Source organism: Homo sapiens, chromosome 16, assembly GCF_000001405.40.
Source record: "Homo sapiens chromosome 16, GRCh38.p14 Primary Assembly".
Classification (NCBI taxonomy): domain Eukaryota; kingdom Metazoa; phylum Chordata; class Mammalia; order Primates; family Hominidae; genus Homo; species Homo sapiens.
Genome location: NC_000016.10, coordinates 32228869 through 32256372, shown reverse-complemented (window position 1 = coordinate 32256372; position 27504 = coordinate 32228869). Strand labels below are relative to the sequence as shown.

The following is a 27504-nucleotide window of genomic DNA, read 5'->3' as shown; positions in this document are numbered from 1 at the left end:
TGTCCTGCACTTTTAAAAATTGTTAAAATGGTTAATTTTATGTATATTTTACCACAATGTAAAAAAGGACTTTTTTAAATGAACAAACTGTAGATATCTGTAACAGCATAAATATCACAAATATAATATTGCATTAAAAATTGATGTAAAAGTATCCATACTGTGTAATTTTTTATATTACACTCAAAAATCAAAACTGAGGTTCTGGCTTCCACTAATGATGAAGTAGCTAACTGAACTAACACTCTCACACAGAAAAATGATGAATCCTGGGTAAATTATTATATATCATTATAGAAACATTTCTATATACAATACATACATGAAATATGTGTATATAAAAACTGAATGCATATTTTGGCTATGACTTCCATAGGAGAGATAAGTATTGAAGATAGAATCCAGCCCATTTAACACCATCTTTTAAAAACAACACTCTTCACAGGGACAAAACAGAATCCAGTCTTTTTAATCCAGTCTTGTATACAGTCTCCAGGGCACAATTTCCAATTCAAGAGATGCGTGAAGACACGTGAAAATGTAATAAATACACAAGATAAAAAGCAGGCAGTAGCCATCTCCAAGATGTCCAAGATGTAAACGGCAGACAAGAATTTGAAGGCAGCTATTATAAACACGCTCATGAGGGCAAAGGAAAATATTCTCATAAATGAATAGATGTGAAACATCAGCAGAGAAAAAATAGCCATATAAAAAATGAGAAATAAAAATAGTAATTTTGAGCTTTTCTATAGTTCAGAAACAGAGACATAGCAATATAATTTATCCAATCTGAGGAGAGGAAAAAAAAAAGTTTAAAGAAAATGAACAGAGCCTTACAGACCTGTGGGATGACTGAGTCTGAGAAAAGGTGAGAGATAGAAAAAATCAAATGGAGTATAAAAGTAAATCAACAAAATTTAAAGAAAATAAACACAGCCTTAGAGACCCATGGAATTATTGAGCCTGAGGAGAGGAGAGAGACAGAAGAATTAGATGGGTTGCAAAAATAAATCAATAACTAACAGCTGCAAACTTGCAAAAATTGTTCAAAAACCTATTTTTTTTTTTAATCTAAAGATCCACGAATCCCCCACAAAAGTACAAATAAAACCATACCAAGGCCATATTGTGATTTAGGAAAGCAGCAGGCAGGACTTTCAATTGACTTGATATGATTTATCATTTTTACTATTTGTAAGAATGGAAATAAGTTCTTAGAGTTTTTGTCTTGGAGAAAGTCTGACGTTAAGGACAAACGACAGTTATTAAAGGCAGATGACTTTCCAGACTTGTCTTAAATGTTCCATTCTTTACCTTAGAACTTATTTAAATTTGTTTCTTCCAAATACTGCAGTAATATTGATGCTCCAGAGAGATGTCCCACGGAGATTCTGCTCTTGTGCGTCTGCCCTGCACGGAGCTGAGGCAGTGTCTATCAGTTTCAGAAGCGAGTAGTCGTGCAGTACTTAACCTGAAAAACTTAATGGAAACATGAATTAAGAGAATGATCACTGTTTAGTTCTATCAGAAAACTATTAAAAGTGGTCCAAGGGGGTATTTAAAAAGAGATATTATTTTCCAAGGGAGCCCTATTCAGGGTAGAAGCGCAGACACTATCCCTGACCTCACCACACAAACTACCCTCATGTGTTGGGAGGGACCAAGGGGCGCTCTGGTCCTGCTGACCTGCATTAATCACGGCCCGGAGGTCCACACTAAGACCCTGAGGCCTGGGAAGCAGCCTGGGTGGGGTCAGAGAAGCGGTGGATGAGGCTCCCACAGCAGCTTCCAGGGTCCCATCCCCGTAGCTGTTTCCTTAGTGGATGCAGCAGGGTCAGGCCCTTCCGCTGTGACGTTTTCTCCTCTTTATTACACTGGTGGGAAAGTCTCCGTGAGAGGCCCGACCTAGATATGGACCACGCAGCGAGCCCGGGGGTCCAAGCGGCACTCCTGGGGTGCAGAGAATTTGTGACAGCCTAGAGAACAGAGGAAATGGTTTTGAAAAGGCAAATGGCAGGTGACTAGGGACACGATGTTTTCACTTCTGGCAGTCAAGTGACAGTTTCAGACACTCATGAACGGGCTTCTCGAGGGGATCCCAAGGAGCCTGAGACCTGCCAGGTCGGCCGCCATTACCCTACACCTAGGGACGGGCTGCACTGCGCATTTCCGAAAGGGCAGGCCCCTTAGCCCCACCCCTAGGAATGGGTGCACTGCGCATGTGTGAAAGGGCAGGACTTTTATCCCGCCGCTAGGGACGGGCTACACTACCCATGTCTGAACGGGTGTGACAAGAGGGAGGAGCGAGAAGGGACGGGGCGGAGCGGGAGATGGGCAAGAATAGGGGCGCGGTGCGGCCAACGTCCGGCGGAGGATCGTTACCACGGCAACGCTGCTGTGGAGGCCATGAAAGGCGAACGGCCCTTTGTTGGCTGACAGGAAATCGAGACACTCGTGAGGGGGCTTCTTGAGGCGATCCCAAGAGGCCTGAGAACTGCCACATCCGCGGCCCTTAACCCAGCCCTAGGGACGGGCCGCACTGCGCATGTCTGAAAGGGAGTGACAAGAGGAGGAGCGAAGGAGGGTGGGGCTGAGGAGGAGGCGGGGTGAGAAAAGGGGCGGGCCGCGCCCCACCCTTGTCTGAGGAGCGTTACCTTGACAACCCTGCCGCGGAGGCAGTGAGAGGCCACCGACCCTTTGTTGATCTGCAAGGTATCAAACTTCGAACATGACAAGCATAAAAGCCTGCAGCTCGAGGAGACAGGGTGTCACAATTACCAGGTGAAACTAGCCGCCCTAGCTCCAATGTCTCTTCAGCAGGAGAGATTTGGAAACAGCAAGGCTCCTCTCCGCAGGGCGAAACTGCTGGGCTGCGAAAGGCGGGACAGGGAGCGGAACCGTCTTCAACCGTTCCGGGAGTTCTGGTGTCTGGTCCGCTCCCGGCTGTTGGTCGCAGGGCAGAGGGTCTAGGATGCCAGCTGGCTGCGGGCTGGGAGATGCAGGGTGAGGCGCGCATCGCGGTGCATACTGGGAGTTGTAGTCTCTCCACCGTTCCCCACGGTGGATGGTGGGGCTACAGGAGGACAATCCCAGATTGAGACAGGAGCGGAGGCGGGGCGCGGCCGTGCAGGGAGGGGGAGGGCGGTGTAGGCGGCTTCGTTTACCAAGCTTGCTGGCCATTGATTTCATGCCAAACCCTCGCCAAGGGGATTAAATCAGGAGAGGAACTTGAAGGGCAGGCCTGGTCTCGCCAGTGAGGAGGATGTGTTGTTGGGAAGTGCACCCCGCCTTTGCCTAAATCGAGAGTGTCTGGTCCTCACTCACGCGACTTCGACTTCCCGCTGCTCAGCTCGATTTTCTTTCCCACTCGCACCCGAGTTCTTTCCAGAGCGTCCCACCTCCTCCAGCCCATGGAGCCGTCTGCTTTCATAAGTGGCTGTGGAAACTGGTCTGAGGTCCCAGACGCTGTCACTGTGCTGCTGCCCTCCGCTCTCTCCAAGCAAAGCACAAGCTGAGCCGCCTTGGAAAGACAACCACGGCCTGGCCTGGGAATGCGCAAGTTCAGAGCTTTGCAGGGAGTGACCATGGGCTGTGGCTTCGTGAAAATGTCACGTTCACCAGTACCCTTTTTGCGGATGTGGCCGTGGAGCCATGAGGGGGGTAATCACTGGGTTACAAAGGTGCTGCTAAGAGCGGAGGAGAAAAACCCAATTCCCAGCCATGTGTCTGGTATGACATTTCACCAACCCATTTAAGTGTGCAGGCCTCCAAATATCTACCTAAAGATTATGATAGATTAGGCATTTTACACTAAAAATCTGTGGCTTCGTGTCCACTAAAGCCTGACTGGCCAGTGCCTAAAAGAAACAGACGATAACCTGATCCCTCAGGAACAGATGGTGTTCTAGCTTTGTGGAAGTGAATTTCAAGGTATGGAGCACTTGAGGGGTCTTTGAAACCTGCCAGGTCTCACATCTCTGCTTTTGGTGAAAAGCTCATCAACTAACAGTAGTCAGGAATGTGCCTTTACTTCCTGGGGCTGGTCTGTTGAAATTTTGTGTGTGGACAATGGAAACATCCAGGAGCATTTCTGCTTTCCTATAGCCTCTTAATAATTGATGCCCTAAAGTCCTATATCCTTTGATTCCTGGATGGTACCAGATTTCATGCTGTTAAATCTAATCTGCAAAAACCTGAGCGTTAATCTCCATGAATAGAAGAACTTGTTGTTTCTTATTTAAATGCTCTTTTTTCTCTTGTCTTAGATTCTGAGCAGGATTTCCAATACGGTGTTGAAAGAAGTAGTGAGAGTGGGCATCTTTTTCTTATAATAAATCTTAAAAATAATTCCAAAATTTCACCATTGACAATAATGTTAACCATGGGATTGTCCTATAGCTTATAAAGAACATATCTCTTTATTTTGAGGTATATTCTTTCTATACCTAATTTGTTATAGATTTTATTTGGAATGGATTTTAAATTTTGTCAAAATAATTTTAGGCATGCATAAAAAAGTCATGATTTTTAATCTTTTTGTTGTGTAAATAAGGAGTATGGCATTTATTGATTTCCACATATTAAAATATTATTGCATCCCAGGAATAAATCCAACTTGATCATAATAAATGATCCTTTTAAAGTGCTTTTGAATTTCATTTGCAACTACGTTGTGGATGATTTTTCATCTATGTTCATCAGGGATATTGGCCTGTAATTGTTTTTCTTGTAATGTCCATCTCTGGTTTTTGTATCAGTGTAATGCTGGCTTCATAAAATGAGTTTGGAAGTATTCCTCCTCCTTCAATTTTTTCAAAGATTTGGTTCTTTTTAAATGTTTAGTAGAATTCAGCAACAAAGTCATCAGATCTAAACTCCTTACCCATTACTGATCTATTCATATTTTCTATTTCTTTATGCTTCAGTCTTGGTGGGTGGTACTTGTCTAGAAATATATTCATGTCTTCTCCCTTATCCCATTTGGTGGGATATCATTGTACATAGGAGTCTGTGTACATAGCAGTCTTATGACCTTTTTTTATTTCTGTTTTACCAGTTGTAATGTATTCCCTTTAATTCTGATTTTATTTATTTAAGCATTTATTTCTTAGTCTAGCTAAAGATATGTCAACTTCATGTTTTCATAAAACAAGCTCTTACAATTTTTCTACATTTTCTATTGTTTTTCTAATCTTCAGTGTATTCATTTCTGCTCCGATTTTTTTTACTAATTTTATTATCTGGGAACGTTGGGATAAGTTCTTCCTCCTCTAGTTTCTTGAGTTGTGTCATTATTTGTTTATTTGTGATCTGTTTTCTCTTTGGTTGAAGGTGTTTACTGCCACTCCATTTCACTGGGATTAGCACCCATATGCATTGTGGTCTTTTTGTTTGAGTTCATCAAACTTCTGATCCTAAGTCTGCACCTTTAGCATACTGGTAAGCAGCAGTGCTAAAAGCCTACACGATGAGTAGGGGATTTAGGATGAGAGAATTACCCAGTAAGTTTTGGGAGGGACTAATATTAAGTTATCTTTCTCTTTTTTATTTCTCATCAGTGCCTGAACCATAAGGCACAAGGAATGAGCCCCTCATCGTGAGAGTGCATGTGACAGGAGCAAAGGAAGCGGCAGCTCAGGAAAGACAAGGTCACTGTTCTTGCTCCCATGACGGTAGCACTTGTTAGAGCAACTGAGTGACGTGCATAATTCTCTCCAAAGTAAAAGTCCTTTTTGTTTTTTGCAATTTTACAAAAAACCATCCCTGGGCCTTTCCTGAGAGTGTGCAATAATAAGCAATGTTCATATGACTACCCGGGCATTTAGTAATGGTAAGCAGACCAGATGAAGTGACCACAGGGATATAGCCTGACTCTTGGTAATCAGGACTGAAGTACTCACTGATTAAGGTTCTGTGTTTTCACTGCCTTGAAAGGCAAGTGTCTTGCAAGCTGCATGCCAAACAAAGGCTAAATATGATGACACATCAGGCTGCAGCAGAGTCAACTGACCATATATGTCTAGGTGATGAGTGTGCTTTAATGTGGTCAGGGAAGGCAACTCATGATAAAGGCCACAAATGGCTATTTAGACCAAAGCAAAAGCCCACCAGAAACTGGTGGCTCTGACTGAGGTGACTTTTAATGTATCATGAAATCAGTAGGCCAAAAGCAGTTAAAGTTGAGCCGATGTCCTCAGTCATAGTTGGTTAATCCAGTTTGTATTGTGAATTGTTTGATTAGCCTCCCCTTTACCCCATTGGTGAGGGATAAATTACCACCCTTGTACTACTGGAACAGTTAAAACCATGGCACCAATCATTGGACAAATGAGATTGACAGCAGTTATTCGTTACATATAATCATGGAAGAAGGAAATTATATAAGGTATACAGACCCACACAGGGATTGCACTTGGGAGCAGAGAGAACAAACAGGGGGTGTTGGGGAAGGCTTTGTAGTATCAAGAGGGTGAGATGCACCTGGTTCCCACAGGAAGTTGTTATTGGTTGGTCTGGATAATTCTGTGACCTTGGGAGAAACTGAAACACATTATACTACCAATTGCTAAGACTACAATAACATACTATAATAGTGTAATGCTATAATGTACCATATACTGTAATACTAATGACAGTATGTTCTCCCTTTTTTGATAGATTCTCAGAAACTGTGACTTTAAGTAAAACAATGTACTATATAATAAAACCAATTTTACCATTGGCTAATTGATATAAACAAGAGTTAATTTTCCATGGCATATAGTATTTTGTTTCACTTAAAGTCAGTTTCCAGGGACCTATCAATGATGTTAAGTGAGCACTTACTGAACATGTATTTTAGTGATGTGTAATAGAAAGTAGCTATAAAAAATATACTATTCATGTACAAAACTACATGTGGCACACATTACAGTCATGAACCACATAACAATGTTTGAGAAATTGACAGACTATATATATGAGGGTGTTTTCTTGTGAGTATATATATATATATATATATATATATATATATATATATATATACCTACCTTTAAAGGCCAAAGGAGCTGAGAGTTTGAAGAATGAGGCTGACAAATCAAGTTTCTCAGAAAGAAACATTTAAGAGGAACATTTATTAATAGAAGCTATGTCTCAGATAGCTGAAGATGGTGGAACCTCACACTGTGACCCCCTAAACCCAGACACTTATCACAGGAAAGGGAATGTGAAGGACAATTGAAATCACTATATAAATTTGCCTAAGGGTAGGATTTATGCTAAGTACCTGTTCACAATAGCATCAGGGTTGTTTTGATTTAAGGGTAGGGCTTATAGAACTGTAGGTTTCAATATATGACATAGGTATTTGAAACCCTCACCAAAAAACATTAGAGGAAGTAACTCTGTCATCGTTTTAAGTTTCTTTTTTTTTTTTTTTAGTAATTTAAAATCTTAAAGTCTGGTTATGTTAAATTAAGTAATCTTAAGTTTCTCACTAAAAATTAGTATTGCTAAGCATTAAAAGAATAGTTTTAAGACAGTTTTTACCCCAGCACTAGTGATTGGATAATACGGCCCCAGGCCCCACCCCTTCAGGTTCTGAATGAGAGAAGATGTGAGCCAACTCATAGCCAGATGACAACAGGGTAAAATGTTCCAAGCCGCAGCCTTTTTCAGGCAGGACTTCCTCCTTATGCTGAAGCCCGGCCTTCACTGTGGGATATTTGCATTTAACCTTGTATATAAGGTTATTTTTATTTATAAGTTGTATATATGTGGCCAGGCATAGTGGATCTCACCTTTAATACCAGCACTTTGGTAGGCTGAGGGGACAGGAGCTCTTGAATCCAGGCGTTTGGGACCAGCCTGGGCAACAGAATGTGAGGGCCCCACATCAAAACTTTTCTACAAAAAAATGAAAAAATTAGCCAGGCATGGTCACACGTGTCTGTGGTCCCAGCTACTTGGGAGGCAGAGGTGGGAGGGTCACTTAAGCCTGGGAGGTAGAGGCTGCAGTGAGCTGAGATCAGGCCACTGCACTGCAGCCTGGGTGACAGAACAAGATTCTCTCTTTCTTTCTCTGCCTTATTTGTGTGTGTGTGAAGGGGGAGGGGTGTGTGTGTGTATTATTCAAAATAGAAACAAAATAATAACAATTATTTTTATTTTTATTTACATTTTTTTGAGACAGAGTCTCACTCTGTCACCCAGGCTCGAGTACAGTGATGAGATATTGGCTCACTGCAACCTCCGCCTGCCAGGTTCAAGTGATTCTTCTGCCTCAGCCTCCCAGGTAGCTGGGATACAGGCACCCACCATGTTGCCCAGCTAATTTTTGTATTTTTAGTAGAGACATGGTTTCACCATGTTGACCAGGCTGGTTTCGAACCGAGGTCAAGTGATCCGCCTGCCTCGGCCTCCCAAAGTGCTAGCATAACAGGCATGAGCCACCATGCCCAACCAATTACAATTATTTTTAATTTTTAGATTTTACAATCTTTCTGGCCTCTTGGCTTTTGAGGCAAACTGAGCTTTGAAATTAGGCAATCCTCTATTGCACCAATGTGCAATAGAAGTAAAATGTGAGCCACATGTGACAATTAGAATTTACTAGTAGCAGCATAAAGAAAAAGAAAAATGAGTGAAATTGATGTTAACAACATAGCTCAATATATCCAAAATATTTTAACATATAATCAGAATGAAATAATTAAAGAAACATATATATGTGTACATATATACGTACACACACATAGACATATGTTTCTTTAACCCAGCATTATATATTTTTATGCACATTTGTATATGTTACTAAATATTTAAATATTTTCTTGTATTTCTCCCCAGCATATCTTAGTTCATGCTGGGCACAATACAGTTGCTCAGTAGCCCCTGTGCCCAGTGGCTGCCACATTGCAAGTGCATCTCTGAGGGCTCTGACTTTTCTGACCTTAGGGAGGTTAAAGGGCCTGAATCCTCCTTTTCTGCCAGATAGGAGTGAATGCCCCTTCTCTGCCAATATCACTCCTGTTTAAAGGATAAGAGAGGTGGTGCCCTGAGAGACAGTAGGGCCTACAAGAAACAAGTGTTCACAGGTAGAACACTGCTGTCCACTTTTGCTTGGTGTGGACTCATCAATCCTCCAGAGATCATACAGCAGTCCAAAAAGTGGGGCCCCCGAAGAGGGAAACCTCATGTTTTTAGATCTGTCCATAGGCTTGATCTGATGTGGAGAGACTAGATTAAAGGCAAACTTTTTATCTTGCAACTTGGCCTTGGCAAATTAAATAGAAATATGTCACTATAAAAATCAATTAAATAAAAAGGAAGGCAGTAAGAGCAGAAAAGAGGAGAAAATACCTACAAGAAACAAATAGAACTATTAACAAAATGGAAGTAGTCCATTCTTTTCACAATTAAAATGAATATATACATAGAGTAAAATTTCCAACAGAAATGTGTAAATTGGCTAAAGAGATTGAAAGAAAAAACGATTTGTTTTCTGCTGTCTATAAGAAACTCACTTTAGATCTAAGCACACAGATAGGCTAAAAGTGCAAGTATGAAAAATATCTTCTAGGAAGATTGCAATCAAATGAGAGCAAGAGGGGTCATAATTATGCAAAATACACATTAAGTCAAAACTGAATTAAAGGACAAATAAAGATAGTATATAATGATACAAGTGTTGATTCACTGGGGAAGCTGTGTTAATAATAAATATATGTACACTTCACATCGGGGTTTCCAAATGTATAAAGCTAAGATCGACCCAGATGAAGAAAGAAATAGCTATGCAAAAATAGTAAGAGACATAATTATCCGACTATCAGTAGCAAACTCTGTAAACCGAACAGACATATAGAAAACACTCATCACAGTGAATAGATTCAGGAAGCTGAAGGCCCATGGGACATGACCAACTCAGCATTCCACTGGAGGCTATATGATCAAACAGCAAACTGTTTATCATGAATGCAGGATGTGGGCAAACTCACACTGCCCTGCCACCAAAAGGTTTGCTGAGGGCCTCATTCCCTGGCACCAGGCTCCTTGAAGTTATCTACTGAGAAATCCAGTGCCTATTGTTCTAAGAATGTAGTCTCTCGAGTCAGCTGTGAATCAAGCTGCTGGTGGAAAACCACCCCCCGCTTCTCACTATCTCTCTTACCTAATAAATATGGAGGGCTGTGTAAAGCTCAGGTACCTTGTTCACTAGAGGCAAGATGCCCCTGACCCCTTTTTCCAAATATACCCCTTTGTCTCTTGTCTTTTATTCCTGCATTCACCCTGCTTTGTTCAGTCCAATAGGTCTGTGTAGGCTACAAATAGAAGTGAAAAAAAAGAAAAAAAAACACTTCACACAACAATATCAGAATACACACTTTTTCCAATAGGTCATGAAACATTCTCCTGAGTAGATAACCTACTAGGACACAAAACAAGTTTTACCAAATTTTAAAATGTTAAAATATGGGCTAGGCATTGTGGCTCATTCTTATAATTCCAGCATTTTGGGAGGCTGAGGTGGGAGGATTAGTGAGTTTAGGAGTTCGGCGCCAGCCTGGGCAACATAAAGAGACCCTCTCTTTAGAAAATATAAAATTTAAAAATTAGCTGGGCATAATGGCACATGCCTGTGCGTCCAGCTACTCAGGAGGCTGACGGGGGAGGATTGCTTGAGCCTGGGAGATCGAGGCTCTGGTTAGCCATGATTGAGCCGCTGTGCTCCAGCCTGAGCAACAGAGCAAAACTCTGTTTCAAAAAAAAGATTAAAATATTACAATCATTTTTTATTACAAGGGAATAAAATTAGAAATCAATAGCAGAAGAAATATGGAAAATCTACAAATATGTGGAAATTAAACAACACACTCTTCTGCATGCTCTCGTTCAAGGGTTGGAAGACAATATTGTGAAGATGTCCACACTACCCAAAATGATCTACAGATTCAATGAGATCTCTATCAAATTTTAACTGTCATTTCACTTGGCAGAAATACAAAAAACATTTCTAAAACTTATATGGAATCTAAAGTGACTCTCAGGAGCCAAACAACCTTCAAAAAAAGAAATAATATTGGAGGCATCACACTCCTTGACTTTATAATGTATTACAAGATTACAGTAACCAAACTATTTAGTACTGACATAAAGGCAGACACACAGACAAATGGAACAGAATAGAGCACAGAAATAAACTGTCATATATATGGCCAAATGAAGAGTTATTTGTATATCCATATTCATTGCACAACATTATTCACAACAGCTGATAGGTGGAAGCAACCCAAATGTCCCTCAATGAATCAGTGAATAAAGACAAATTGGAATATACAAATAATGGAATATTATCCAGTTTTTTAAAAGCAGGAGATCTGATTATTTTTACACTAAGGATAAATCTGGAGGACATTATGTAAATAAAATAAATGAGTCATAAAAGGACACTGTGTGATTCCAGTTAAATATCTAAAATAGTTAAACTCTTAGAAACAGAAAGTAGAATAGTATCAGTCAGAGCCTCAGGGGAGGAGATAAAAGGGTAGTTGTTGTTTCATGGCTATTGAATTTTAGTTTTGCAACATAAAAACATTCTAGAGATATGTTGCATAACAATGTGAATATATTTAATATTATTTAACTATGTACTTAAAATATTTAAGATGGTAAATTTTATGTGGTTTTGACTACATTAATAGTGAAAAACTTTCTAAAGAGATACATATTTATCAATCTTTTCAAAAATTACCTTCAAATCCTAAAAATATCAGAAAAACAATAAAGAGGCCAGGTGCAGTGGCTCATCCATGTAATTGAAACACATCAGGAGGCTGAGGAGGGAGAATAGCTTAAGCCCAAAAGTTGGAGACCAGCATGGGCAGCGTAAAAAGACCTCAGCTGCAAATCACAAGAAGAAGGAAACTGGCAAATGAAAAAATATGTGAAACTTAAAACAGAACACTCTTGACTTCTTGTTCAAGGGTCAAAAAATTTAATATTATTAAGATGTCAATACTACTCACAGTGAAGCACAAATTCAAAGTATTTTCTATCAAAATCCCAATGTTACATTTTTTTCAGAAATATTAAGTCTTAAAATTCATATGGAATCTCAAGGGACAATGAGTAGCCAAAGTAGCTGTGGAGAAGAACAAAGTTAGAGGTATCACACTTCCTGATTCCAAAATATATTATAAAGCTATAGCAATACAAGCAGAAAGACAAATAGATGATGGAACAGAATAGAGAACCCAGAAATAAACCTTTATGAATATCATCAAATAATCTTCAATCAGGCTGCCATGACCGAACAACAGGGAAGAACAGAATAGTGTTCTAAAATTGAGTATCAAAATGGAAGAAAATAAAATTGGACTTTTCACTTGCACCATATAGAAAACTATCTTAAACACTTAAATGTAAGTAAGATCGCTATAAAAGTCTTAAAATATAAGGTAAAAATCATGACATTTGTCTTGATAATTTTTTTAACATGACATTAAAAGCAGAAGTAACAAGAAAAAAGCAGGAAAATGGGTCTACCTCAAATGTAGTAAGCTTTCTGATAAAGAGAAAACAGCTGGGCCTGGGGGACCACTACCACCAAGACGCAGAGACCAGTAGTGGCCCCGAATGGCTGGGCACGCTGATATTTATTGCATACAAGACAAGGGGGCAGGGTAAGGAGGGTGAGTCGTCCAGGTGATTGATAAAGTCAAGCAAGTCATGTGATCATGGGACAGGAGGCCCTTCCCTTTTAGGCAGCCAAAGCAGAGAGGGAAGGCAGCATACATCAGTGTTTTCTTCTATGCATTTATAAGAAAGATCAAAGACTTTAAGACTTTCACTATTCCTTCTACCGCTATCTACTAAGAACTTCAAAGAGGAACCAGGAGAATGGGAGGAACGTGAAAGTGGACAAGGAGCGTGACCACTGAAGCACAGCACCACAAGGAGGGGTTTATGCCTCCGGATGACTACGGGCAGGCCTGGATAATATCCAGCCTCCCACAAGAAGCTGGTGGAGCAGAGTGTTCCCTGACTTCTCCAAGGAAAGGAGACTCCCTTTCATGGTCTGCTAAGTAACAGGTGCCTTCCCAGGCACTGGCATTACCGCTCGACCAAGGAGCCCTCAAGCGGCCCTTATGTGAGTGTGACAGAGGGCTCACCTCTTGCCTTCTAGGTCACTTCTCACAATGTCCCTTCAGCACCTGACCCTATACCCACCAGTTATTCCTTGGTTATATGAGTAATACAACAAAGAGTAATATTAAAAGCTAGTGATTAATAATGTTTATACTAATGATGGATAATGTCCATGATCATCTCTATATCTAATTTGTGTTATAACTATTCTTTATTCTAACTGTTTTCTTTATTATACTGCAACAGTTTTTACCTTCAGTCTCTTGCCTCGGCACCTAGGTAATCCTTCACACCCACATGTTTCTACAAAGGAGATATACAAACGGCCAAGAGGAATTTTAAAAGATGCTGCAAATCATGAATCTTTAGAGAAATGAAAAGCAAAACCCCAGTGAGATATTACCTCACATTCATTAGGATGGCCACTATCAAATAAGAGAAAATAACAAGTGTTTTCAAGGATGTAGAGAAATTGGTATATTTGTGCACTGGGTGGTGGAAAAAATAATCATGCAGCCATTATGAAAAATAGTACAGAGTTTCCTCAGATTATTAAAATTGGAATTATGATGTGGTCTGGCAATACCATTTCTAGATATCTATCTAAATGTGCAAAGCGGGACCTGAAAGAAACATTTACATACCCATGTTTATGACAGAATTATTCTAAAAATCCAAAAGGTAGAAGCTACTTGAATGTCCCTTGACAGATAAATAAGTAAATATGATATATACATACAATGAAATATGATTTTAAAAGGAAATCTTATCACATGCTGCAATGACAATAAACCTTTAGGGCATGATGTTAAGTGAAATGTGCCAGGAAACAAAGTGACAGTGATTGTGTGATTCCACTTATGAGATATCTTAAGTAGTCCAACTCACAGAAATGGAAAGTAAAATGTTAAGGGCTCAGGAGAGGGTAAAATGGGCAGTTGACGTATATGGGTATTGAGTTTTAGTTTTGCAATGGAAAAGCTCTAGAAGCCTGTTGCATAACAATGTGGATATATGTACCACTAATAAATTATGCAATTACAAATGTATAGACTGGTAAATTTTGTTGTGTTTTATTACAGTTAAAATATTGTAAAGTGATACATAAAAGAGATACCGAGTTACAAACTTTTTGGAAAATTACCTTCAAATTATAAATGTGTTTTCCTCACACAAAGAAAATATAGATTTGTTCAATAAATACGTGGGTAAGTTAAGACTACTTATATGACTACTGTCCTGAACAAGATAAAACAACTTTTGACACCAGCCAAGAAGAGAAATATGCAAGATAATTAAGAAGAAATAGACTATACTTACAGAGGCAAACAAACACACGATTTTATTGGTGGTAGATATGGCTGATTCATATTTTGATTAAACATCACATTGACTTAACATGTACATAGAGTTGCAGATTTACATCCAAAATCATAATACGTAGGTAAAACCAAACTCACAAAACACGAATGTCAAGGAACTTACCAAAAAAGAAAAAAAAAATAGTAATATGAAATTTCAAGAAAGAATGAGAGAAACAACGAAAAAACTCCTATATAAAACATAGATTTACAACTAAGAAAGAATCCTCCTAGATAACTACAATCTTCAGCTGTGACTGTGCATCCGTGGTGAGCAGGGATTTTGAATCAAGACTGCGTTAGGAAGAGGCTCAAGGGGGCAGACAGTGCCACCTCCAGAGAAGCCACTGCTCCTACTCCTGCCTCTCCTGCTACTGCCGCCACCGTCCTCTGCTCCTGCAGCCCCCACTGGGCGCCCGATTCCTTCTTGGAGTGCGGAGGTCCTGTTCCTTCAGGAACGACAGACAGCTTTTCTCCCCGTCTCCTCGTTTGCTCAGCCGGCAGGTGCAGGACTGGAGATCTGAGGTGGTCCTGCGTCTCGAGGAGCCGGGCGCCCGACTGTGAGAAGGAGGAGGCAAGCTATGGGGAGAGGGGGCGACAGGAATGCCAGGCTCATGAGGCCGGCGGCCGCGGCCCAGGCAGGGCTGGCTGCTGCCTGGGCCGGATGGTAAGAGATACTGTGGAAAGAAAATAAAATAAAATAAGTAATAATAAAGTTTAAAATAATAAACCTAACATAGGTAATAGTTAACATTCAGCATAGGTTACTTAGAAGTTATACATAGGCTAAGAAATTCCAGCAGTCCATTCCAGCATTGCTAACAAGTTGCAGCTGCGAGCTTATCTCAATCTTCCAAGCTTATTGCCTGCCTCCAGACCCCCGCATATTCCTGTAATTCGTGTTTTCCCTTACCCCAGCTCTGTTCAGCTTCAAAGTTGACTGGACAAAATAACTAAATTGTAAGTTCTCTCCGAATTGTCACGGGTTGGATAATTTACTGTCTTTGTCTGAAACCTGTAACCTGCCTTGTTTTCCCGCCTCAAACGGCACTTAAGCAAGCCTGCTTTCTTTGCAGGGGTCGGCAGCCATTTTGGGCATGAGCCTGCTGTTGGCTCAGGTGCCTGAATTAAATAAAGTTCTCTTTGGTCTCCAAAGGTCTCTTCGTGTTCCTTGGCTGGAGTTTTACTACAACAGTACCAGATGTCGCCACCATCCCCATCCTTGGCCCCCTAGCCGTCATTCATACATCCTGTGTTCAACAAACAGAAGTGGCAGCGGGAGCTGCTGCTCCGGGAGGGGGAGTGGCCTGGCAGGGGGCACACAGCTGCTACCTGCTGCGAGGCGAGTTGGTCTGCAGCCTGGGCCTTTGTGCAGGACACATCGCCGCCCTTGTCCCGCTTGCTCCCCCGCCTGCCACGCAACATGCTCAGGTGCCAGATCTCGGGCATTCCTGGCAAGCATACTGTGGTGGGGAGGCAGCAGGGAGGAGGGGTTTGCCAGGAGCCCTGAACAGAGGTTCTTGGCATGGAGAAGAGACAGAGGTGGCTGACTGGTTCCAGTTTTAGGTGGGTGGGGGGAGGGGGCGGCAAACCCCATGGGACTTTGTTTTTTTCAAGGAGACTTCAGTTCACTTCTTATCTGTTCTCCACCCGCATAAGCCTCTGAGAACAGAGGAGATGGGGCTCTTTTAAATTGGCCTGGCCGTAACGGTCTGGACCCTTGCCGCAGGGCAGATCTCATTTGGGGGCTCTTTGAAGCCTGGAGGCTCACGCCTGTCCATCCCAGGTGTCTTCAATATAGGGTCAAGTTAGGCCTGGCTGGCAATGATGCTGGGATGCAGGACGATCTGGCCAGATCTTCGCCTGTTACAGGATATTTTAGCCTTCAGCACCCTGCACCATTTCCCTCACCTGCAGAAGCCCCCGTGAGCCTCAGTGTTGCTAGGGCCCAGACCCTGGATGCCTCTCTATTAGGTTCCCACTTTACCCCACCTAAATGCACCAGGCCCTTACTCTGCCTTTCCCCTTTTCCCAGAACATGCCCCATTCAACTCCAACAGGACATGTCTGGACCACGTGCACCCCTCTTCAGTGTTAAAACAGAGAAAATAATGTATTTTTCACTGAACATGTAACTGATTTAACATATAAGGAGATCAGCTTTATGTGTAGATATGCATGTAAATATACACAAAATTTCTAACGTTGTGGGAAAATTAACATCTTTACACTTTGTTCAGTGATTTTATAGTTTTCTCTCTCTTACTCACTTGCTTCTTTTTTTTTTTTTTTTGAGACAGAGTCTTGCTCTGTTGCCCAAGCTGGAGTACAGTGGCAAAATATCAACACACTGCAGCCTCTGCCTCCTGGGTTCAGAAGATTCTCAGGCTTCAGCCACCCGAATAGCTGGAATTACCAGCATGAGTAACCATGCCCAGCTGTTTTTTGTGTTTTTAGTGGAGACGGGGTTTTGACATGTTGCCCAGGCTGGTCTCGAACTCCTGGCCTCAACTGATTTGCCCACCTTGGTCTCACAAAATGCTGGGATTACTGGCGTGAGCCTCTATGCCTGGCCTACTTGTCACTATCTCTATGTTTATTTGTTCAATAGGAAAATTCTCAGTGAAGACTCCTCAGCATGATGAAGATAAGCTTGCACAATCAGTCATTGATAGATGCTTAGTGGAAAAACTTCCAATTCCCATTTGCAGCTCTCAGAGCTAGGATTAAAAACTCCTGGTCACAACCTCATGTGATGAGATGTTATAGCATGCCCTCATTTTCTACATATCCACCTGCATTTACAATTAGCTTTCAAACTTGCTAGAAGGGAAAGAAGTGGGAATGTGTCCCCCTTAGAGCTACTTTCCTCCCCGTGCTGGGTTTCCAGTTTGTGCATTGTCCAGATGGCCCAGGAGCTTATGATCAAAGTGAAGAGGTCCTGTTTGTCATGAGAATGTTGCTTTGCTGCATCAGGATTCAGTGAAACTGTTCACCACCTGGAGCCCATGTGGACTCCAGAGGCAGGATGAAGCTCAGAAACCGTCACTGAGGTTAGGAAGTGAGCACCAAAGTTGAGGGCTGCCCACAGGAGAGGGCCAAAATGCTCCCTTTGGATTTCCAAGTGGTTGCTTCTTGCATCAGTCTTGCTTCTGACCACACTGTGTTCCTGGTCCCGTCTTCCTGGCATTTTGCTGTTTGTGTCCAAGGGAAAGAGTCCTGGATGGCAGTGCTGAGAAGGATGCCTGCCTGCTAAAGCTGATCCCCTGGTGAGCTCTGCAGCCTGTTAAGCAGAGCCTGAAATTCTTTCTCACTGAGTGGTGATTCAGACCACGGAGGGCCCTCCTCTTGTGGATCTGCATTCTGAAAAGATTGTGCCTTTTCCTGAAACTCTGGGACTTGTAGAAGATCATGCAGATGACTGGTGTGGTTGCTCCAGCAGATAGATGGCTCTTTCATGGCTTGTGCCTGTTTCTGCCACAGGTAGACCTATGTGCATGGGCTACTAAGGTGCTCCTGCTCCAGGTTGCCATTGAATCATGGCATCCTGGGACCCGTTGCCTAAGCTCCACCACTTCTGAAGGTGGGATGTGTCCTGTTGACCCAGACTCTAAAATTGTGGCTAAGGATGACCAGGCTGTGGCTGTCCCTTTAAGGCAGAACTTCCAGGCCAGTGTCTTATTTTTCTTGTCATCCTAAAGTTTTCCTTTCGACTGAGGCCAGAAACAAGTCTGTGTATGGGAGAGCCTCCCTCCTAGAGTTGGTACCATTGACATATGACTCCTAAGTGCCAGAAGAGGTTGAGAGAACTCTCCCATCTGCACAGCCAGGGTGCTATGTGCATCGTGACCCTTGGTGCCTGGCTCACACAGCCTGCAGAGGGATCCAAAAAATCACAGGTTGTGGGAGGTGAAGGAAGAGCTGGTACAAATGACAGGTGGCTGCTGACAGAATAGGAGGCAGGAAGATGAGACCTGCCTGGGGTAGTGCACATGTTTTGTTCCAGCCAAACAGTCAGATGAGGTCTTGGTCTTGGACCCGCTGCCAGGGAATTCACAAGCCCGCTTCTGCTGTGGCCTGGGAGCTGAGGTCTTTGGTTCTGAAACCAAATGTAAATTTTGGACTCTGAAATGCCTGTCTGTTTAGCCAGTTTCTCTATAATGGTGATTCCAGGAAAGGAATTCTCTTGGAAAATGTTGAGGGTCCTTCTCAAAGGCTTTAATGAGTACACTGGTGTGTGATTGAGTGATGGATGTCCTTTCCTCCTGCCTTCTTATTTGACTTGCACAATAAATATTAACTATGGCAGTTACGGTCATATCTTTCTTTACAACATAAGAAACTTAAGTCATTCATTGATGACACCAAAGCCTCATTCTCCTACATTAAACATTCTCCTACATTAAACTTCTTGAATCTTCTGTGCCAACTGTCTAGAAAACCTAAACACATGAAATACTACAAATTAGAAATAAATACCTCAATAGGCACCAATTATAAAAGCAAATCCAAGAAGGAACAGAATATATGAATACACATATAACAAGTAAAGAGATTCAATTAATTAAAAATCTTCACAAAAAGAGAAGCCCAGAGCCACATGGCTTAACTGGTAAATTCTACTAAACATTTAATGAAGAATTAATGCCAACTCTTTACAAGGCCTTCCAGAAAATATGGGACAGTTATTGGGAACACTTCCCAATTTGTTCTGTGAGGCCAGTATTACCCTGATACTAAAGGCAGACAAAAGCATCAGAAGTAAATATGTGTATGGACGAATTTCCCTGATGAATACACACAGAGAAATTCTCAAAAAAGCGAAATGAATCAAGAATATATCAAAATGAATGTACACCATGACCAAATGGAATTATTTTACAGATGCAATATTGATCTATCCGATAATCAATCAGTGCCTTACACAAAGTAATAGGATAAAGGAAATTAACAGAAAGAGCCTTTCAACAGACACAGGGAGCATTTGACCAATCCAATATTCATTCACAATCTCCCTGGAAAGGAAGGGTACAAGCAAACTTCCTAAATCTGCTAAAGAGCATCAATGAAAAACTTACACCTAACGCCATAATAGTAAAATACTGGTTGTTGTGTCTTGACATTTTAGAACAAGGCAAAAATGTTAACATCCAAAGAAATTACATGAGAGAAAAAAACAAAATCATCAATGTGGGAAAATAAGATGTTAGAATTGTCTATCATTGCAGAGGACATAAGTGAATATAAAAGTTTATAAAAAACTCATTAAAACCCACTAAAACCAATACATGAGTTCAGCAAGGTCACAAGATACAAAATCAATATGCAAAGTTCAATTGTACTTTTATGTACTAACAATGATCAACCTGAAAATAAAATTAAAAAAACAATCCATTTGTGTATGTATGAAAAAGAAAGAAATATTTAGGAGTAGATTTAATGAAGTGCAATTTTACCGTAAAAAGAAATCTTTGTTAAAAAATTTTAAAACACTGAAAAAAATAGGCATCAATGTTTATTTAGTTAATGTTATTCCATTATCCAGTGTATCCATTTAAACTCCACACAATAAAACAAAATATATTTTAGCATTATTTTAGTGTAATAAATACAGGTTTGTAGAAAACTCATAAAAGGAACTAATTCTACATGTCCAGAATAGCCCATCCTAATTTTTCTATTTTACATCTACTGTAAATCAAACCGATTTTGTTCCATATTTTATAGCGGAACGTAAGATAAAATCCAAATTGTTAAATACGTGAGATTGATTATAAGCCCACCAAGGAGGTTTTTACTCAGTGTGGGAATTCAGAGAGCATGAAGTTGCAAAGACAGAAGCAAATGTTTTTGAATGAATTATGAGGGACAATACTCACAGGAGTGCTTCACACTTTTATCAACTGACTCATGTCATCTCACTTTAGGAGAAACTGCCTCTAATTTTAGACATTGGTTCGTAGCAAATGCTAAATGAACCAGCACCAAGTTTATATCCAGGAGAACTGCTTACTCTAGAGGATTTTGTCTCTTGGATAATGACATGATTCTGTCTTTCATAGGCTACTCCAAAACTTCTATAATGATGGTAGAGTTTAGTGAAGTGGAGCATCGGCATGCCATCCCCATGCTCCTGACAAGCAGCAGCAGCTAACCTAAGCACAGTCACATAGGGCATGCCATTGACACCCACCTTGCTGTTGTTCACCTCCACATACTAAGTTGCCATACACTTTGCAGTGGAATTTCACCTTACTGCATCTGGTTGGTCAGCAGTCCTGCAGGTAGAAAGAGTTGGTCAGGAGGGCACATTGAGAGAATAGATGAGAGCTCAGAGGCTGCCTAGCTCCCTGCACCCTGCCCACAGGCCACAGTCCTCACCCAGCTGTCCAGCATGCATGTCTGCTGAAGGCTGCTGCACTTGTTCTTCATCACAGAGGTGGGATGAAAGCAGTCTGAGGGCACCACACTCCATGATCAGGGTCTACTTCTGGTGCCATAGCTCCAGGTGGAAGGACAGGTAAGCAAAAGACAGGTCCCACCTTCCACATCCAGCCCACACTCCCACCAACTTCCAGGCCCACCTCAATATCCTGATGTGATGCTCTCCTTAGACCTCTTGTGGTTCTTCAGCCAGGAGATGGAGAGAGTGGGGTTGCTAGGAGCCAGGCAGTGAAAGTTGGTTGTGGTGGCCAGCATGGCTGGCAGTTTCCTGTCCATCCACTGGGGCAAAGTCCAGGAAGGGGTCTCTGCTGGTGGAAGCACACATGAAGGCCATAGCTGAGGTGAGGAACAGAGACCAATCTGACCAGACCCCCGATTCAAGATCACCCTGCCCACTCCGAGTCTCATGTTTTTCTCCTGTGTAGGGAGAGTGTTGACATTTCAAGGACATCTACTTGGGCTGAATGAGGCTCCCAGGAGCTTCAACACAATGTCCCCACCCAGTCATGCTCAGAGCTGGCAATGTGTGCCTTTCTATTCCCTCTGCTTCCCCCAAGTGGCTGCTCCTGCTGAGAGGCTGGGGTTCTTCATCCTGGCCTGAAAGCCTCAAAGAATAATGGAGTCTCGAGGGGATACCCCACCTGCACAGGGAGGCACATGGGGAGGGCCCACCAGGAAGGAGGCCCAGCAGGTAGCCCAGCTAAGTGAGTGAGTCAGGACAGGCATTGGGAGCAGTTTACCAGGAGAAGAAACCCAGCCCCTTGCAGAGCTGGGAGCCTCAGAAGCAGCTGAGAAGCCTTGGTCCACAAGCCTCTGAGCCCATAAGCCACCCCCTGCAGAGCTTCAGGGCCCGGCGGGCACTGGTGAGGATGGCGGCCTGGAGGCTTCGTCTCTTTTTTATCCTGACTTCCAGGGCTGTCACCATTCCCCCTCTCACACCTCAGCTAGTTTTTCTAATTTCTGGGTGCTGGGGTGGGGCTGCCTTCCTGCCTGGACTTGTGGGTAGGCTCAACTGCCTTACCCCCAGGAGAGAGGCACTAGGGGCCCAGGAAAGAGAAAGGAGGCAGCCGCTTCCCCACAGTGACCTCCTTGCCATTCACATGCAGCGACAGGCCCACCTTTCGGTGGAGGATGCTGAAGCACAGCCGGGAGCTGTGTAGAGAGACGCTGGGAAGAGGCACCAATCACAACTCTGAGCTGTCCTCTGGGATTCCAGGGGTGGGAGATGGGGACCCACTGGTGATTAAGACAGCTCAGCAAACTGTGGCACAGGATGTTCCCAGGACTGGGAGACAACAGTGACTCAATGCTGCTCACTTCTAGACTGTGCCTTCTTAAAGTGGCTCTTCAGTTACCCCCAGAGCTTGAGCCCACACCATCCTGGGATGGCTGGGTAGGCAGAGGTGAGCAGGGACTCAGGGGGAGTGCACAAGGGTGTGTGGGCAGGGGCAGAGGCTGTTGAGGCAGGTGAGGGGAAATTTTCATCCTTTCCTGTCTGCTCCTCCCGGGGTCTACTTTCCTCTCTTCCCTCTGCCTCTGGCTCCCTGGCTGGCTCCTCCTCACTTTCTTTCCTGCTCACTCCAGAGGTCTCAGGGGCTCAGCCCACCACCAGTGGTCCCCAAGTTGCAGCTGCCTCTCCCATGCCTATCCCATGAGGACCCTCATCTGCCTGAGCACATCTCTGGGCTCCTCTGAAACCAGAAGCCCCATCTTCCTGACAGACCCCTCCACAACTGGGCAGAGTTCACCTGCCACTGTTCCAGGCCAGAATGACTGGGAATTGTTCCGCTGCTGCTGTTTCACACCCACAGCCAATCCCCCACAAATGCTGTTGGCATCACTTTTACAACCCTCATGGCCACCCTGCCCTCCTGCTGGGCTGTAGCTTTTGTCCCCTCCATCCATCTGCCCCTTGGCAGCCACCTGAGCCCCCAAGCACTGCTGTGCTCACACCTACAGTAGCCACCTCACCCAGAGCCAACATCAAAGTCCCCACAGGCCAATCCTGGCCTCCTCACTGCTCCTGGAACCCCAGGACCCTGTGCCCCAGTCTCCCCATCTGCAGCATGTGTGTCTCCTCTGACCCCCAGCCTGCCCCACAGAGCCCAAGACATCCAGAGCCATCTAATAGATATGTAATACATATCAATTACATAATAATTCATGATACATCATATTATATACAAAGTACGATGTCATAATGTACTGTGATGCCATAATACATATGAAGTATAATGTCATAATATATTGTGATGTCATAACACATACTGATGATGATGTCACAATATACTGTGACGTGATAATGCCTATGAATTTTGATGTCATAATACATGTGCATTATGATGTCATGATATATTGTGATGTTGTAGTATAAATTATGATGCCATAATATATTATGATGTCATGTTGTGTGTGCATTATGATGTCATAATATATTGTGATGTCATAATACATATGAATTATGATATCATAATATGTTGTAATGTCATAATATATTTATTTATCACATTAATGGTATAATAACATAAACTTTGTCAGGTAATTTTACAAGAAAATTCAGTGAAATTTTGTAACAATATTAACATCTAAAGTAGCTTATAATCATGATGAAAAATGAAAGAGCTGCAGGAATCTCACATGGTAGGAGTTGAAACAGGAAAGATCAGGGAGGGATATGCTTCACTTTTAAACCACCAGATCTCGTGAGTACTCACTATGACAAGGACAGCACAGAGCCATGAGAAATCTATCCCCATGATTCAACCATCTACCACCATGCCCCACCTGTAACATTAGGGATTAAAATTCAATATGAGATTTGGAGGAGACATCTAAACTATATTATATGACCATTAGTGTGGGCGAAAGGTCACCAAGGTGCCAAGGCAAGAGACTGAAACAAACTGTTTCAGTATAATAAAGAAAATTGTTAGAATAGAATAGTCATAATACAAATTAGATATAGAGATGATCATGGGCAATTATCAATCATTATTATAAACATTATTAATCATTAGCTTTTAATATTACTCTTTATTGCATTGCTAATATAACCTAGGAATAACCGGCGGGTATAGGGTCAGGTGCTGAAGGGACATTGTGAGAAGTGACCTAGAAGGCAAGAGGTGAGCCTTCTCTCATGCCCCCATAAGGGCCGCTTGAGGGCTCCTTGGTCAAGTGGTAATGCCAGTGTCTGGGAAGACACTCATTACTTAGCAGACCATGAAAGGGAGTCTCCTTTCCTTGGAGGAGTCAGGGAACACTCTACTCCACCAGCTTCTTGTGAGAGGTTGGATAAATTATCCAGGCCTTCCCACAGTCATCCAGAGGCCTAAACCCCTCCCTGTGGTGCTGTGCTTCAATGGTCACACTCCTTGTCCACTTTCATGTTCTTCCCATACTCCTGGTTCCTCTTTGAAGTCTATAGTAGATAATGGTAGAAGGAAGTCTTAAAGTCTTTGTTCTTTCTTATAAGTGCATAGAAGGAAACGCTGACGTATGCTGCCTTCTCTCTGTCTGCTTCGGCTACCTTAGAGGGAAGGGCCCCCTGTCCTGTGATCACATGACTTGCTTCACCTTGTCAATCACTTAGAAGATTCACCCTCCTTACGCTGCCCCCTTGTCTTGTATGCAATAAATATCAGCCCGTCCAGCTGTTCGGGGTCACTAGTGGTCTCTGCGTCTTGGTGGTAGTGGTCCCCTGGGCCCAGCTGCTTTCTCTTTATGTCTTTGTCTTGTGTCTTTATTTATTATAATCTCTCGTCTCCGCACACAGGGAGAACACCTGCTAAACCCCGTAGGGCTGGACACTACACATTAGAAAAACAGATGAGGCTGGATACGGTGGCTCATGCCTGTAATCCTAGCACTTTGGGAGGCCGAGGCGGGTGGATCACAAGGTCAAGAGATTGAGGCCATCCCGGCTAACAGAGTGAAACATGGTCTCTACTAAAAATACAAAAAATTAGCCAGGCATAGTGGCACACACCTGGAGTCACAGATACTCGGGAGACTGAGGCAGGAGAATCACTTAAACCCAGGAAGCAAAGATGTAAGCTGCACTCCAGCCTGGGCAACAGAGTAACAGAGCAACAGAGCAACCAGCACTCCAGCCTTGGCAACAGAGCAAGACTCCGTCTCAAAAAGAAAAGAAAAGAAAAGAAAAACAGATGAAACATTCATGGTTTCTACAGATACTTTCATTCCAGAGTAAACGGATACACGATTGAATTCTGTGGTTAGAAGAGAAAAGGGAGGTGTACGGGGGACTTTGGCTGCATTTGTTCTACTTCCCTTATGCTGTTGTTGTGAGTTCTGATGTCACCACCTGAAGGGCTCTTCATAGACAGAAGAATTATGGCTATTGTTGTGATTATTCCTTTTTCTTTTACCTTAGTAAAAATAAATTTTTTAGCTTCTCATATAATTTTTTAAAAAACCCTAAGAGATTTAGTCAAATTCCTTGTTATTGTATGGTACAAAAATTGACAGGGAAATGGCTAAAATATATTAAAATTACACAAACTCTAGGAGTCAAGTTTCTATTGGGCAGTATTAGGAAAGACAGAACTGGAAACACTCCACCATAATAGACATCGAAGGGGGCCAGCCCCTCCACACCTGTGGGTATTTCTCGTCAGGTGGGAGGAGAGACTGAGAAAAGAAATAAGACACTGAAACAAAGTATAGAGAAAGAACAGTGGACCCAGGGGACCGGTGCTCAGCATACAGAGGACTCGCACCAGCGCTGGCCTCTGAGTTCCCTCAGTATTTATTGATCATTATTTTTACTATGTTAGTGATGGGAGTGTAGCAGGGCAACAGGTGGGGAAAGGTCAGCAGGGAAATATGTGAGCAAAGGAATCTGTATCATGAATAAGTTCAAGGAAAGGTACTGTGCCCAGATGTGCACATAGGCTAGATTTATGTTCCTCTTTACACAAACATCTCAGTTTAGCAAAGAGTAACAGAGCAGTATTGCTGCCAGCATATCTCACCTCTAGCCACAGGGTGGTTTTCTCCTATCTCAGAATAGAATGAATAGGAATGGTCGGCTTTACACTGAGACATTCCATTCCCAGGGATGAGCAGGAGACCAAAGCATTCCTCTTATCTCAACCGCAAAGAGACCTCCCTTACCATTTACCATGCCATCTCACTGCCTTGACTGGTGATTTTGAGAACTCCTGTGTCCAGTTCAGAAGTCAGAGACTTCTATCCCATCTCAGTGGGGGCAAACCTTGGACAACACCCAGGCTTTCTTGGGCAGAGGTCCCTGAGGCTTTCTGCAGTGCATTGTGTCCCTGGTTAATTGAGAATGGAGAATGGCGGTTTCATTTTTCTTGTATGCAGGATGATTTTTAGGATTTTTTTTCTGTTATATTTTTTGCATTCTGGTTACCTAGAAGGTAGTGATTATTACCCCAAACCAGGGCTTGATATTGTGTTAGTCCACTTTCATACTGCTATGAAGAAATACCTGAAACTGGGTAATTTATAAAGAAAAAAAGGTTTAATGGACTCACAGTTCCACATGGCTGGGGAAGCCTCACAATCATGGCAGAAGGCAAAGGAGGAGCAAAGACATGTCTTACATGGTGGCAGGCAAGAGAGAGAGCATGTGCAGGGGAGCTCCCCTTTATAAAACCATCAGATCTTGTGAGACTTATTCTGTTTCACAAGAGCAGCACAGGGAAAAACCCATCCCCATGATTCAAGTTCCTCCAACTGGGTCCCTTCCATGACATATGGGGATTATGGGAGCTACAATTCAAGATGAGATTTGGGTAGGGACATGGCCAAACCATATCATTCTTCCCCTGGCACCTCCTGAATCTCATGTTCTCACATTTCAAAATCAATCATGCCTTCCCAACAGTCCCCCAAAGTTTTAACTCATTTCAGCATTAACTGAAAAGTCCATAGTCCAAAGTCTCATCTGAGACAAGTCCCTTCCACCTATGAGCCTGTAAAACTAAGAGCAAGTTGGTCACTTCCTACATACAATGGGGGTACAGGTATTGGGTACCCCCAATGTATTTACACCTGTTCCAAATGGGAGACATTGGTCAAAACAAAGGGGCTACAGGCTCCATGCAAGTCTGAAATCCAACAGGGCAGTCATTAAACATTAAAGTTCCAAAATGATCTCCTTTGACTCCATGTCTCACATGCAGGTCACACTGACACAAATGGTGGTCTCCCATGGCCTTAGGCAGCTCTGCCTCTGTGGCTTTGTAGGGCACAGCCTCCCTCTTGGCTGCTTTCACTAGCTGGCATTTTGTATGGCTTTTCCAGGTACACAGTGTAAACTGTTGGTGGATCTACCATTCTGGGGTCTGGAGGATGGTGTAACTACCATTCTGGGGTCTGGAGGATGGTGGCCCTCTTCTCACAGCTCTTCTAGGCAGTGCCCCAGTAGGGACTCTGTATGGGGGACAGAGCCCACATTTCACACCTCTACTACCCTAAAAGAAGTTGTTCATGAGCCCCTGCGCCCGCCCCTGCCCCCCGCCCTGCCAAAGCAAACTTCTGCCTGGACATGCAGGTGTTTCCATACATTCTCTGA

General features: G+C 42.8%; 1 protein-coding gene and 1 long non-coding RNA gene across 9 annotated transcripts; both read right to left on the bottom strand.

The window, feature by feature from the left end:
* Positions 1-444: 444 nt before the first annotated feature.
* On the bottom strand, positions 445-3087 carry TP53TG3D (TP53 target 3D). 8 transcript variants are annotated; one of them, NR_158188.2, is made up of 4 exons: positions 2658-3087; positions 2386-2552; positions 1690-1979; positions 445-1482 (listed from the first exon to the last, which is right to left on the bottom strand). NR_158188.2 is itself a non-coding variant. In XM_017023637.3 (3 exons), exons 1-2 carry the CDS (start codon positions 3017-3019, stop codon positions 2516-2518), a joined length of 399 nt encoding a protein of 132 aa, XP_016879126.1. In that variant the 5' UTR covers positions 3020-3087; the 3' UTR covers positions 445-1474; positions 2386-2515. The 8 variants fall into 8 exon arrangements, 3 of the variants coding, with proteins under 3 accessions (XP_016879126.1, XP_016879123.1, NP_001230651.1); NR_158190.2 differs by having other exon boundaries at positions 445-1474; NR_158189.2 differs by lacking the exon at positions 1690-1979.
* Positions 3088-20623: 17536 nt separating this feature from the next.
* Positions 20624-21238, bottom strand: LOC105379466 (uncharacterized). The gene is made up of 3 exons (XR_951012.4): positions 21077-21238; positions 20874-20994; positions 20624-20770 (listed from the first exon to the last, which is right to left on the bottom strand). It is a non-coding gene; the product is annotated as an uncharacterized LOC105379466 (long non-coding RNA).
* Positions 21239-27504: the final 6266 nt, after the last annotated feature.

Coding starts and splice junctions, on each gene's coding strand:
- TP53TG3D (XM_017023634.3), bottom strand. CDS start 3,019: ATGCGCGCCTCACCCTGCATCTCCCAGCCCGCAGCCAGCTGGCATCCT. Junction 1,980..2,657: donor TCCGCGGCAGGGTTGTCAAG/GTAACGCTCCTC, acceptor TCTGTTCTCTAG/GCTGTCACAAATTCTCTGCA.